The sequence below is a fragment of the Homo sapiens genome, chromosome 1, assembly GCF_000001405.40.
Source record: "Homo sapiens chromosome 1, GRCh38.p14 Primary Assembly".
NCBI lineage: Eukaryota > Metazoa > Chordata > Mammalia > Primates > Hominidae > Homo > Homo sapiens.
Window position 1 is genome coordinate 236,085,619 of NC_000001.11, and position 13,042 is coordinate 236,098,660.

The window sequence follows — 13,042 nt, forward strand, 5'->3', positions numbered from 1 at the left end:
AGTGCAAAGGCCCTGGGGCAGGAGCAAAGCTGGTATGTTGGGGGCAGGGAGGCTAGAGCCAGAGTCACAGGGGAGTAGTAGGCGAGGTCAGTGTGTGTGTGTATGTATGTGGTGTGTGTATGTGACGTGTGTGCATGTGAGCATAAGTGTGTGTGTGGTGCATATGTGTACACGTGTCTGGTGTGTGCATATGTGTGCTGTATGTACATGTGGAGGGTGCATGTGTGTGGTGTATGTGTGTGCTGCATGAATGTGTATACGGTGTGTCTATATGTGTGGTGTGTATGTGCATGTGTGAGGTGTCTGGGTGTGTGGTGTATGTGTGTGTAGGGCGTATGTATGTGAATGTGTATGTGAGTGTAAGTGGTACATGTACATGTATATGTGTATATGTATGTGAATGATGTGCACAAGTGTGGTATAGATAGGTAAATATGTATATGTACATATGAATGGTGTATGTATGTGTGTTGTGCCTGTGTGCATGTGTGGTGTGTGCTTGTGGTGTGCATGATTTGTGTGTGTGTGTGTGTGTGTGTGTGTTTACTTGGTGTTTGGGGAGTGGGGAGGGGGTGGCTATTGGAAGGGCATATTCCTGGCAACATGGTTTGTGTGTGTGTGTGTGTTTACTTGGTGTTTGGGGAGTGGGCAGGGGAATGACGATTGGAAGGGCATATTCCTGGCATCACCTGGTCTCTGAACTCTCCCATTTCCAAGCCTGATTCCATCTTGCTCCTCCCTCTTAAGAAAGAATCTGATATCAGCTGCTGTTAAGATCATTCTATCTGATTCTCTCAGGTCTGTACCATGACTTAACCTAGGCCTATCAGTGCTCCTGGCCCATGCAGAAAAGCCAGAGGTGGGAATACAAACCAAGCAGTGGGGTCTCAGTTTTCAGGAAGAGTTTAAAGCTCCATTGGATCATTCACGCAACCTCTCTGATTTGAAATAAGAGCGGGGGAAAATGAAGGTTTTCTAATTCAAAATTAAAGGTTCTGGCTTTAAAAGAACCAAGTGGGAGAGGGTTGGGTGCTTTTGGTGGTTGTTTTTCAGGACCGGAAGTACTGGAGGAAGGAAAATTAACAATTTCTTGAAAAAGGAAAGACGTCATCATCCCCTGCCAATCAACATGGATCAACAGGAAGAGGACATGGGGGGCTCCTCTCTGTTTGAGAGCATCCCAGGTGCCGTTTCCAGGCTGGCTGTGCCTCAGCTTGCCTGAATTCAGGCATAAGAGGATGATTTCTATGCTGAAATACAAACAGAAAGGGACGTAGGGAGCTGGGCCCCTATTCATTCGTGTCATGGTCCTCAGCTGTCTCCAGTCTGCCCATCCCCGCCCGACCTCCATACCACCATTGAGGGAGTTTCTGGAAATGAAATCTGATCAGTTATCCTATTTCAGTGAATCCCAGAATTTTGGACTCCCTGGGCCTGTGAAAGTTTAAATGGAAACTGAAGGCACTGACAGAATGCCCAGCTTTTTATTGTCACCATCATTTGATTAATGACCAGATGTTTAAACATCAAAATACAGGAATAGCACAGTGTCAGAATCAAAGACAGTCCTTTTAATTGAATATGGTTCACTCTATGAAAAATTTGCTTTAGATAAATTATATACATCTATATAATTATAGATGTAATGTATGATTATATGTATATGTAATTATGTTATATAATAATATGTAATTATAATATATGTAATCTTTAACAATTTTGCCACAGACTCATGAAAACTTTGTCATAGACAACAGCTGTTCCGGGCAGAGGGAAGTCATAGACAACAGCTGGCCCCAGGGCTGTGCTTACAAGGGGCCCCTGGCCCATGGAGCAATCCTGGGCTCCCAATGGGGTGAGAGGGACCCTTGCCAGCCCCTCACTCCCCACCTCACACTCCTGCCCCACTCACAGGTTCCTGAGCCTTGTGTTGTCTCGTGCCTCCTTGTCCCAGTCAGTCCCTTCTGCCTGGATGCCCTTCTCCTCCTCTTAGCCTTTATGTAATCTCCTACTCAACTCTTAAAACTCTGCTTAGTTATTACCTTCTCTGTCGAGTTTCGTTTTTCTTCTGCACCTAAGAAGACAGAATTGCTCACTCATGCCTTAGAATGGCGTCTTAGTCTGTTTTGTGTTGCTACAACAGAATACCCGAGACTGGGTAATGTATAAACAACAGAAATGTATTTTTCACCATTCTGGAGGCTGGGAAGTCCAAGGTCAAGGCATCAGCATCTGGTGTGGGGCTTCTTGCTGTGTCCTCACATGGCAGAAGGTGGAAGGGCAAGAGAGGATGAACGCTTTGTCCTCACATGGTGGAAGAGCAGAAGAGAGAAAGCCCACTCCCACAAACACCCCCCTCCTTTTTTTTTTTTTTTTTTTTCTTAGCAGAGTCTCACTGTATTGCCCAGGCTGGAGTCCAGTGGCATGATCTCAGCTTACTGCCATCTCTGCCTCTCGCTGCAAGTGATTCTCCTGCCTCAGCCTCCAGATTAGCTGGGATTACAGGTGCCCACCACCATGCCTGGCTAATTTTTGTACTTTTAGTAGAGACAGGGTTTGGCCATGTTGGCCAAGCGTGTCTCAAACTCCTGGCCTCAAGTGATCCACCTGCCTCAGCCTCCCAGAGTACTAGGATTACAGGCATGAGCCACCACACCTGGCCACAAGCCCTTTTTATGTTGGCATTAATCCATTCATGAGGGCAGAGCCCTCATGGCTTAAACACCTCGGCTAGGAACCACTTCCCCACATTATTGCATTGGGGATTACATTTTCATCATATGGATTTGGGGGGACACATTCAGACCATAGACATGGTATCACTTTCCCTTCCCCCCATCCCTTGCAATTTTAATCATTTTGATGAACTGTTCTCTGTTTTCCCCCTCTGGTTTCAGGCGTCTTTGCAACCTAGACCCTGGTGCACAGCCCGGAATCCCAGTGCTCCTGGTGCGCCATTGCCAATAGTAACCACAGAAGCTAGAGTGTGGAACGCAGTGAGTCTAGAGTCCTGGCATCCAGAGCCTGGGTGGGAACTCAGGGTGGGCTGGGAACAGGCAAACGAACATCTCTCCTGGCTGCTCGGGCCGTGGCTGGAGGGGAGTGGGCTTCCATCATGGAGTCCTGAAGCCCTGCTTCTGCCCTGAGCTTTGTGCACCACGCCACTGCCCCTCAGAAAACCCGGGGGATGCAAATGGTATGGCTTTTTTTTTTTTTTTTTTTTTTTGAGATGGAGTTTCGCTCTGTCGCCCAGGATGGAATGCAGTGGCGCAATCTCCACTCACTGCAAGCTCCGCCTCCCGGGTTCACGCCATTCTCCTGCCTCAGCCTCCCGAGTAGCTGGGACTACAGGCGCCCGCCACCACACCCGGCTAATTTTGTTTTTGTATTTTTAGTAGAGACGGGGTTTCACCGTGTTAGCCAGGATGGTCTCCATCTCCCGACCTTGTGATCTGCCCACCTCGGCCTCCCAAAGTGTTGGGGGTATCACTTTTCTATCTTTGTCATTGTGTTGATTTTAAAATATCTGATTCTTTCTCCAGTTCCTTGTTTACTGTAGGTCCCCCCACAAAAGTAAGCACATAGTAGATGCTCATTAAATGCTTACCAGGCCAGGCGTGGTGGCTCATGCCTGTAACCCCAGCACTTTGTGAGGCTGAGGCAGGTGGATCTCCTAAGGTCAGGAGTTCGAGACCAGTCTGGCTAACATGATGAAACCCCATCTCTACGAAAAATACAAAGACATTAGCCAGGCGTGGTGGCGGCGCCTGTAATCCCAGCTACTCAGGAGGCTGAGGCAGGAGAATCTCTTGAATCCAGGAGGCAGAGGTTGCAGTGAGCCGAGATCGCACCACTGGCACTCCAGCCTGGGCGACAAGAGTGAAACTCCAACTCAAAAAAAAAAAAAAAAAAAGAAATGCTTACCAAACTGAACTGTTGTTGAGCAGAAACCACCCTGTTCAAAGCAAAGTTTACTTCTTGAAAATGACTCATACATGAGCCAAGTGATAACAAAACAATTTCCCTGTGCAGTTCACATCAAGTACTTCAGGGGGGACCAAGTCATTCATCTCAGTGTTCAGACAGGTCCTGAAAGATAAATTCTGTAGAGATGTGTTTAAAACAAAGATCATTTCGGGAGGCTGAGATGGGAGGATCTCCTAAGCCTGGGAATTCGAGGCTGCAGTGAGTCTTGGTCGCACCACTGCACTCCAGCCTGGGTGACACAGTGTGACCATATCTTAAAAAAAAAAATGAGTAAAACAATGATTATAACACTTGTACTAACACATCTTTAAAAAAAAAAGGGAATAATTGTATTGTGGGTGGGCTTTTCTTTTAATTTGTTTAACTTAAAACTTGTTCAGATCAGATGTTATTTATTATTATTATTATTATTATTATTATTATTATTTTCTGAGACAGAGTCTTGCTCTGTCGCCCAGGCTGGAGTGCAGTGCAGTGACACAATCTTGGCTCACTGCAACCTCCGCCTCCCAGGTTCAAGCAATTCTTATGCCTCAGCCTCCTGAGTAGCTGGGATTACAGGCACCTGCCACCACGTCCGGCTAATTTTTGTATTTTTAGTAGAGACGAGGTTTCACCATGTTGGCCAGGCTGGCCTAGAACTCCTGACCTCAGGTGATCCACCTGCCTCAGCCTCCCAAAGTGCTGGGATTACAGGCATGAGCCACTGCACCTGGCTCAGATCTTATTTTCTTGAAGTAGTCTAGCTGAAGTGCAAAGCACCCTTTGCCCCTTTACACTTAAAACATGCCAGCTCACAATTAGCCAGGCATGGTAGCAGTCACCTGTAATCCCAGCTACTCAGGAGGCTGAGGCAGGAGAATTGCTTGAACCTGGGAGGCAGAGGTTGCAGGGAACTGAGATTGCACCATTGAACTCCAGCCTGGTCGACAGAGATTCCGTCTCAAAAAACAAAACAAAACAAACAAAAAAACCCCACCAAAACCAAAAAAAAAACCACGCGGGCTCAGGGCTGGAATACAGTCCCGTGTCATGCACATGTCTTCCTTCTCAACCATGAAGCTTTGCAGGTTCAGAAGTGGGCAGAAACCCCTGAGTCCCTGTATTCTTGTGGATGTTAACTGTATGGACCAAATGTCCTTCATTCCAGTTAAAAGATCTGAAACTACAATGATCGGCAATCCACTCATTTCGGACCAAATATGGTATGTTTTGGCTCAGAACACATACTCCATGGAGCTGTCATCCACAGGAAGGTTTAGCAGAGACAAGTACTTATCTTCTTCCAGGAACTAGAGTGCTAAATATTTACAAATTTAAGAGAGGCTGTGTCCCTGAGACCCTCTCAAGAGAGGAGTGGTTGGCTGAGGGTTTTTTTCCCTCTTTCTGGGTTTACACTGAAGATATATTATTACAAAACAAATGATGAAATATGAGACGTGTTCAACTGGTTGTTTGGGCAACATGACATCCACTGGCTAGTGTGGCCCATCTGCGAAGCATTTTTTGTTTTTGTTTTTGTTTTTGAGACGGAGCCTCACTCTGTCGCCCAGGCTGGAGTGCAGTGGCGTGATCTTAGCTCACTGCAACCTCCGCCTCCCAGGTTCAAGCAATTCTCCTGCCTCAGCCTCCAGAGTAGCTGGGACTGCAGGTGCCCGCCACCATGCCCGGCTAATTTTTTTGTGTCTTTAGTAGAGACGGGGTTTCACCATGTTAGCCAGGATGGTCTCGATCTCCTGACCTTGTGATCCACCTGCCTCGGCCTCCCAAAGTGCTGGGATTACAGGCGTGAGCCACCGCACCTGGCTAAACAAGTTATTTATGTAAAGTGCCTAGAACAGTGCTTGGCACATAATGAGCACTAGATGTCGGTAAACTATCATTATTAGCAAAGGTAATACTATAAAGTACATTGTATTACTTACTATATGGGATTTGCAGCTGTTAACAGTCCCCAGACTAGTAACTCAAACAAGATAAAAGTTAATTTCTCTTTCTAGAAGCCGTTAGAGGAGTGGGACAAGGCAGGCAGTTGCTCTGTTGCATGAAGATTCGTCCTGTAGCACGGGGCCCTTGTCTACATCAAAGCATTATCTCCAGGGTGTCACTGCAGAAAGGGGAGAGAGGAAGTGAACAACAACTAGCTTCCTTTTGAAGGATATGACCCCTTCATTGCATATGTCACTTCCGCTCACATCTTGTGGCCAGAATTTAGACCTTTTGCCAAAGCTGGCTAAAAGGGAGGTGACGACTGCTCGCCTACATGTAGGATTCAGCCACACTGCCCTAGAGCCTTGACACCCACCCAAGCCAACCACTTAAAATGGGGCTGGAGGGGCCAGATTTCTTCTACTAAATGAAAGAAAGGATACTGGGGAATAGCTGGCGGTCTCTGCCACACACTCTTTTTCTTTAGTGGGATTATTTTGTATGTGCTGCTGTACATATGGGTTTCTCATCGAGCAGTGTATTGGGTGCCGTTCCCTAAGTTCCTGTACACAGATCTGGTTTATGTCATCCATCAGCTCTCTTGTATTCCAGGAAATGGAAATCTCTCTTTTTTTTTTTTTTTTTCGAGATGGAGTCTAACTCTGTCACCCAGGCTGGAGTGCAGTGGTACAATCTTGGCTCACTCAACATCCGCCTATGGGGTGCAAGCAATTCTCCAGCCTCAGCCTCTCTAGTAGCTGGGATTACAGGCATGTGCCACCACGCCCGGCTAATTTTCGTATTTTTAATAGAGACAGGGGGTTGCCATGTTGGCCAGGCTGATCTCGAACTCCTGACCTCAGATGATCCACCCGCCTCAGCCTCCCAAAGTGTTGGGATTACAGGCGTGAGCCACTGTGCCTGGCCAGGAAATGGAAATCTCTTAATTCACTTAGCCAAGTCTTACTGATGGATGGACACTGAGGTTGTCTCCAAGTTTTGCTATTACAAACAAAGCAGCAATGTACTTTTTTTTTTTTTTTGAATCAGAGTCTCATTCTGTTGCCCAGGCTGGAGCACAGTGGCATGATCTCAGCTCACTGCAACCTCCATCTCCTGGGTTCAAGTGATTCTCCTGCCTCAGCCTCCTGAGTAGCTGGGACTACAGGTGCACACCACCACACCTGGCTAATTTTTGCATTTTTGGTAGAGACAGGGTTTTACCATATTGGCTAGGCTGGTCTTGAACTCCTGACCTCAGGTGATCTGCCCACCTCGGCCTCCCAAAGTGCTGGGATTACAAGCATGAGCCACCGTGCCCAGCCAAAGCAGCAATGTACATCCTTCTACATATTTTTTGCACATTTTTTTTTGCCAGCCTTTCTATCACATAGGCTTACAGAAGCAGAAAGAGTTTGCACATTTAACATTTTGACACATATGTGAGTCTTCACATCTAGAGATCGCCCCTTTAGAGACATGATTCCCATCTGAAGACCTCGGGGGAGAGGTCACCAATCCCCACCCATCAATGACAATCTTGATTTATAGCTGACTCAGACTAACATCCTGGAAAAAAAAAAAGGAAAGGCGACAGAAACTTGACACTTGTTGAGAGCTAGGTATTATTATCCTTATAAGTGTGGAAATACAGACATGGAACAGTTACATGATCTGTCCAGTTCACAGAGCTGATAAGGCTTTCCTTTTCGTTCTTTTTTTTTTTTTTTTTGAGACGAAGTCTTGTTCTGTTGCCCATTCTGGAGTGCAATGGTGCCAACTCGGGTCATTGCAACCTCCGCCTCCTGGATTCAAGCGATTCTCCTGCCTCAGCCTCCCGAGTAGCTGGGACTACAGGCTGAGCCACCATGCCCAGCTAATTTTTTGTATTTTTAGTAGAGACGGGGTTTCACCATTTTGACCAGGCTGGTCTCAAACTCTTGACCTCAGATGATCCACCCGCCTTGGCCTCCCAAAGTGCTGGGATTACAGGCATGAGCCACCATGCCCAGCCTTCATTCTTTTCTTAAATCAGCTTTATGGAGGTACAATTTACATACAATAAAATTTGCCAAACTTTAGTATGTAATTTGCTACATTTTAACAAATGTGGACAGCTTTGTAGCCAGCACTAGAATCATGATATGAAACATTTTCATCACCCCTAAAAGATCCCTCATTTACAGCCAATCCCTTTTTTCCATCCCAGCCCTGCCAGCCGCGGATCCACTTTCTGTGGCTATCATTTTGTTTCTAGAATTTCATATGAATGGAGTCTTACAGTATGTGATCTTCTGTGTCTGACAGATTCACCCATGTTGTTACGTGTATGTGTACTTCATTCTTGTTTTTATTTGCTGATGAGCATTTTATGACTTGTTTCATTCACAAGTTGATGGACATTTGGGTTATTTCCAGTTTTTACCTATCACAAATAAAGCTGCTATGAATGTTCCTGTACAAGTTTATGTGAATACATGTTTTCATTTCTCTTGGGTAAACATTTAGGTGTAGGATGGCTGGGCTATATAGGTGGTGTATATTGAAATATATGAGAAATTGCCAAACTGTTTTCCAAAGTGAGTATATCATTGTGCATTCCCAACAGCTATCTATGGGAGTTCCAGTGGCTCCACATCCTTGCCAACATGATCAGTCTTTTTCATTTTCGCCATTTTAGTGGATATGTAGACATATTTCATTGTGATTTCAAATTGCATTTTCTTTTTCTTTTTTCTCTCTTTTTTTTTTTTTTTTTTTTTTTGAGACAGGGTCTTTTTCTGTCTCCCAGTCTAGAGTGCAGTGGTGTGATCACAGCTCACTGATGCCTAAGCCTCCTGGGCTCAAGCTATCCTCCCACCTCAGCGTACCATGCAGTTGGGACTACAGATGTGTGCACACCACCATGCCCAGCTAATTTCTTTGATTTTTGTTTGTTTGTTTGTTTTAGTAGAGACAAGGTCTCATTATGTTGCCCAGGCTAGTCTTGAACTCCTGGACTCAAGCTTTCCTCCCACCTTGGTCTCTCAAAGTGCTAGGATTACAGGCATGAGCCACTGCATGCAACCTGATTTTCTTTTTCCTTTCTTTCTTTTTTCTTTTTTTGAGACGAAGTCTCGCTGTGTGTCACCCAGGCTGGAGTGCAGTGGCACTATCTTGGCTCACTGCAACCTCCGCCTCCCGGGTTCAAACAATTCTCTTGTCTCATCCTGCCAAGTAGCTGGGATTACAGGTGCGTACCACCATGCCCAGCTAATTTTTGGCAGAGACGGGGTTTCTCCATTTTGGCCAGGCTGATCTCGAACTCCTGACCTCAGGTGATCTGCCTGCCTCAGCTTCCCAAAGTGCTGGGATTATAGGTGTGAGCCACCATGCCCGGCCATGATTTGTATTTTCTTAATGATGAATGATGTTGATTTCCTTAGCCATTTGTATATTTTCTTTGGTGAAATGTCTATTCAAATATTTCACCTCCTCCCCAACACTTAAAGTGTTTTAAATTTTTTAAAATTAGTTTGTTTGGCTTCTTATTACCGAGTTGTAATAGTTCTTCATGTATTCAGAGTGCAACTCCTTTAACAGATACATATTTTGCAAATATTTTCTCCCATTCTATGGCTTGCTTTTTTCTTTTCTTAACAGTGTACTTTTATTTTGAAACAAGGTCTCACCCTGTTGCCCAGGCAGGCTGGAGTGCAGTGGCATGATCATAGCTCACAGCAGCCTCAAATTCCTGGGCTCAAGCCATCCTCCCACCTCAGCCTCCCAAGGAGCTAGAACTACAGGCACATGCTATCTTGCCCAGCTATTTTTTTTCTGTAGAGATTGGGGTCTTGCTATACTGCCCAGGCTGGCTCGAACTCCTGGGCTCAAATGATCCTCCTGCCTCAGCCTCCCAAAGTGCTGGAATTACAGGCATGAGCCACTGTGCCCAGCCAACAGTGTACTTTGAAGAGCAAAAGTTTTAAATTTTGATGATGACCCATTTATTGATTGCTTTTTATGAATTGTGCTTTTAGAGTCATTTGTATTAACTACATTTTCTTATTTTTGATATTGTTGATGCTCTGACATCTGAGACCTTGCTGAGCCAAGAGGGGCTGCCCCTCCCAGGCGGGGTAAGCTAATTCCCAGAGATAGCAAAGGACATGCCTGCAAGCATGCCTTCCATATGCAAACCAATCAATCCAGAGCTCACACCCCCAGCCACTTCCCTTAGTGGGTTCCCACACTCTGGGCCACTATCTACCTGCCCTAGTCACCCCAGAACCTGGTACCAGACAACTAGGGACAGTCCCTGTGACCCAGAGCCACCAAATTGTTCAAACTGCCCAATACTAACCCTGACTAGCCTGCTTATATTGCATCATCTATTTCTTCCCATGAAAACCATGATAAAGGCTCCTGCCCCCAGGTCCCATCACCCCAGCCTGCTGTCTTACCTGAGTACTTCTCCCTGTGGCCCTGCATGGAGTGCCATGCCTCCTGTCTCTAGGGACTGAGTATAACAAAAACCTTTTCCTTTATACCAATTATTTTCATATCTGCATGTCTTACCATACCCAATTAAAACAAATCTCAAATACAATTAAAACTCACTTCTGAGAAATCTTTGCCTAACCCAACCTCGCAAAGATTTTCTACATGTTTTCTTCTAGAACAGAGGTCACCAAGCTACGGCCTGTGGGCCAGTGGCTTGTTTTTCTAAATAAGGTTTTACTGGATTATGGCCATACTCTTCATTTTTGTAATGTTTATGGCTGCTTTTGTGCTATGACAGAGTTAAGTAGTCATGACAGAGACCACATGGCCCATAAGCCTAAACATCTGCTACCTCGCCCTTTAAGAAAAAGTAAGATGACCTCTGTTTTAAAAATATTATAGTTTTAGTTCTTACATTTAGGTCTGAGACCCTTTCTGAGTTAAACATTTTTATGATGTGAAGTAAAAGTTAAGGATATTTTTGTGTATGAACATCCACTTCATCCACAAAGCAGCAATGTTTCTTTTTCAAAAAAGACCATCTTTCCATGTTGAATTATGTTGGTCGTCATCAAAAATTAATTGACCATGTAGCTGTTTCTCAACTTTTTATTCTGTTCCATTGATCTTCGTGTCTATTCTTCTACCAATACCACCCTGTCACGTCTATTGTATCTTTCTAGTAAATCTTAAAATTGGGTAACATAAGCTCTCCATTTCCAGTTTCTGGAAAAATTTGTGTAGAATTTGTTGTAAATAAATTTTTGGTGCTGCAAAAGAAATAGCACTCAAACATAAGTTTAATTTTCTCAGCAAGGCAATTTTACTTCTCTAGAAGGGTGCGACTCGCAGATGGAGCAATGGCCAGAGCACACCTGAACAAGGGAGGGGAAGGGGTTCTGATTCCTGACACAGGTAGCCCCTACTGATGCGTCGTTCCCGTATTGGCTAGGGTTGGACTGCACAGTCTAAGCTAATTCCGATTGGCTACTTTAAAGAGAGCAGGGGTATGAGCCAGAGTGGCGGGGTGAGTAGTTTGGTGGGAAGGGTGGTTACAGAACAGGTGACTCAGGATGATTCAGGTCAGAGCAGGTGACCAGGGGTGACTCAGAATGGAGCAGGTGGCCAGGGGTGACTCAGAATGGAGCAGGCGGCCAGGGGTGACTCAGAATGGAGCAGGCGGCCAGGGGTGACTCAGAATGGAGCAGGCGGCCAGGGGTGACTCAGAATGGAGCAGGCGGCCAGGGGTGACTCAGAATGGAGCAGGTGGCCAGGGGTGACTCAGAATGGAGCAGGTGGCCAGGGGTGACTCAGAATGGAGCAGGCGACCAGGGGTGACTCAGAATGGAGCAGGTGACCAGGGGTGACTCAGAATGGAGCAGGTGACCAGGGGAATAGACGTTAACTACTGATTAGAACTGTTGGAAAAGGTTGTTTAGTGAAACTAGGGCTGAGGAGAACGAGGAAGTTCAACTTTAAAATGGAGAACAAAGAACTGAACATACTGACATACTGATTCTTTGAAGAGAAATTTAGAACTCACTGTATTCAACAAATTATTATTTTTGCTTTTAAGTGTCTGTGGAATTCACCGGTGATCCACCTGCCTCAGCCTCCCAAAGTGCTGGGATTACAGGCGTGAGCCATTGTGCCCGGCCAAGAACAGCCTTCCATTTCTACCTTGCCTGTAGCCTCCCAAACCAAAATACGGGTCTCAACACCTGGTCCTTGATCTCCTTGACTCCCGTTGGACCCAAGAAGTATGGCTTCTCTCCCCTTTCCTCTGGTGGATGGCCCTGGACACAACCCACCTCACACTAACAGAGACAGAGGGGTGGTCCAAGGGAAGTGAGTGAGAAGTTACCTGCAGAAGAGGGAACTTTTGAGAGAAGGAACCAGGTAGCTGTGAGGCCCTTGAAAACAGAAGGCTGTCAAGGCAGATTTGAAGGGAGAATATATGTGAATTAGCAAGTGCAGGAGATAGAGAGAGCACTAACTATTAGAAAGAAATGAAAATAGGGCCAGGCGCGGTGGCTCACACTTGTAATCCCAGCACTTTGGGAGGCTGAGGCAAGTGTATCACTTGAGGTCAGGAGTTCGAGTCCAGCCTGGCCAACATGGCGAAACCTCCCCACCATGTCTACTAAAAATACAAAAATTAGCTGGGTGTGATGGTGTGCACATGTAATCCCAACTACTTGGGAGGCTGAGGCAGGAGAATCTCTTGAACCTGGGAGGCGGAGGCTGCAGTGAGTCAAGATTGTGCCACTGCACTCCAGCCTGGGCGAAAGAATGAGACTCCATCAGAAAGGAAGAAAGGAAGGGAAGGGGAAAAGAAGGGAAGGGAAGGGAAGGGAAGGGAAGGGAAGGAAGGAAAGGAAGGGAAGGAAGGAAGGGAAAGGAAGAAAGGAAGGGAAGGGAAAAGAAGGGAAGGGAAGGAAGGAAAGGAAGGGAAGGAAGGAAGGGAAGGGAAGGAAGGAAGGAAGGAAAGGAAGGGAAGGAAGGAAAGGAAGGGAAGGAGGGAAGGGAAGGAAGGAAGGAAGAAAGGAAGGAGAAACTAGGAATAGGGAGAGGATAAAGAAATTTTAGTTTTTGAAAAAGCTGTGTTAAGCTAATCAAGTCACATGAGATCATGCAGAGATGT

At 45.8% G+C, this 13,042-nt stretch overlaps 10 annotated features.

The window, feature by feature from the left end:
- Positions 10,500-12,357: a meiotic recombination region, noted in NCBI's record as "meiotic double-strand break mapped by DNA meiotic recombinase 1 chromatin immunoprecipitation followed by single-stranded DNA enrichment and sequencing in the germ cells of some male individuals with the PRDM9 A/A and PRDM9 A/C genotypes". NCBI's record gives the evidence for it as "EXISTENCE:chromatin immunoprecipitation-seq evidence [ECO:0000229][PMID:25395542]".
- Positions 10,500-12,373: a biological region, named in NCBI's record as "MS32 minisatellite repeat instability region".
- Positions 10,874-12,373: a meiotic recombination region, noted in NCBI's record as "crossovers mapped in sperm cells". NCBI's record gives the evidence for it as "EXISTENCE:DNA detection assay evidence [ECO:0005519][PMID:9734365, PMID:15880103]".
- Positions 10,986-12,185: an enhancer, noted in NCBI's record as "P300/CBP strongly-dependent group 1 enhancer chr1:236259904-236261103 (GRCh37/hg19 assembly coordinates)". NCBI's record gives its function as "activates an origin of replication core promoter dependent on BRD2, BRD4, P300/CBP, MED14 and CDK7 cofactors, with strong dependence on P300/CBP, by STARR-seq in HCT116 cells {active_cell/tissue: HCT116}" and the evidence as "EXISTENCE:reporter gene assay evidence [ECO:0000049][PMID:35650434]".
- Positions 11,132-11,635: an enhancer, noted in NCBI's record as "H3K27ac-H3K4me1 hESC enhancer chr1:236260050-236260553 (GRCh37/hg19 assembly coordinates)". NCBI's record gives its function as "activates a minimal SCP1, AML or CMV promoter by ChIP-STARR-seq in naive and primed H9 embryonic stem cells {active_cell/tissue: H9 hESC(naive and primed)}" and the evidence as "EXISTENCE:reporter gene assay evidence [ECO:0000049][PMID:30033119]".
- Positions 11,241-11,866: a repeat instability region, noted in NCBI's record as "repeat instability region; the MS32 minisatellite displays germline instability". NCBI's record gives the evidence for it as "EXISTENCE:polymerase chain reaction evidence [ECO:0000082][PMID:8162067]".
- Positions 11,438-11,450: a nucleotide motif, noted in NCBI's record as "nucleotide motif; similarity to the predicted 13-mer PRDM9 A binding motif (LD hotspot motif), CCNCCNTNNCCNC".
- Positions 11,486-11,792: a minisatellite, noted in NCBI's record as "MS32 VNTR, 29 nucleotide repeat".
- Positions 11,611-11,905: an enhancer, noted in NCBI's record as "tiled region #15719; HepG2 Activating DNase unmatched - State 25:Art, and K562 Activating DNase unmatched - State 25:Art". NCBI's record gives its function as "activates a minimal TATA promoter and a strong SV40 promoter by Sharpr-MPRA in HepG2 and K562 cells {active_cell/tissue: HepG2 | K562}" and the evidence as "EXISTENCE:reporter gene assay evidence [ECO:0000049][PMID:27701403]".
- Positions 11,636-12,138: an enhancer, noted in NCBI's record as "H3K27ac-H3K4me1 hESC enhancer chr1:236260554-236261056 (GRCh37/hg19 assembly coordinates)". NCBI's record gives its function as "activates a minimal SCP1, AML or CMV promoter by ChIP-STARR-seq in naive and primed H9 embryonic stem cells {active_cell/tissue: H9 hESC(naive and primed)}" and the evidence as "EXISTENCE:reporter gene assay evidence [ECO:0000049][PMID:30033119]".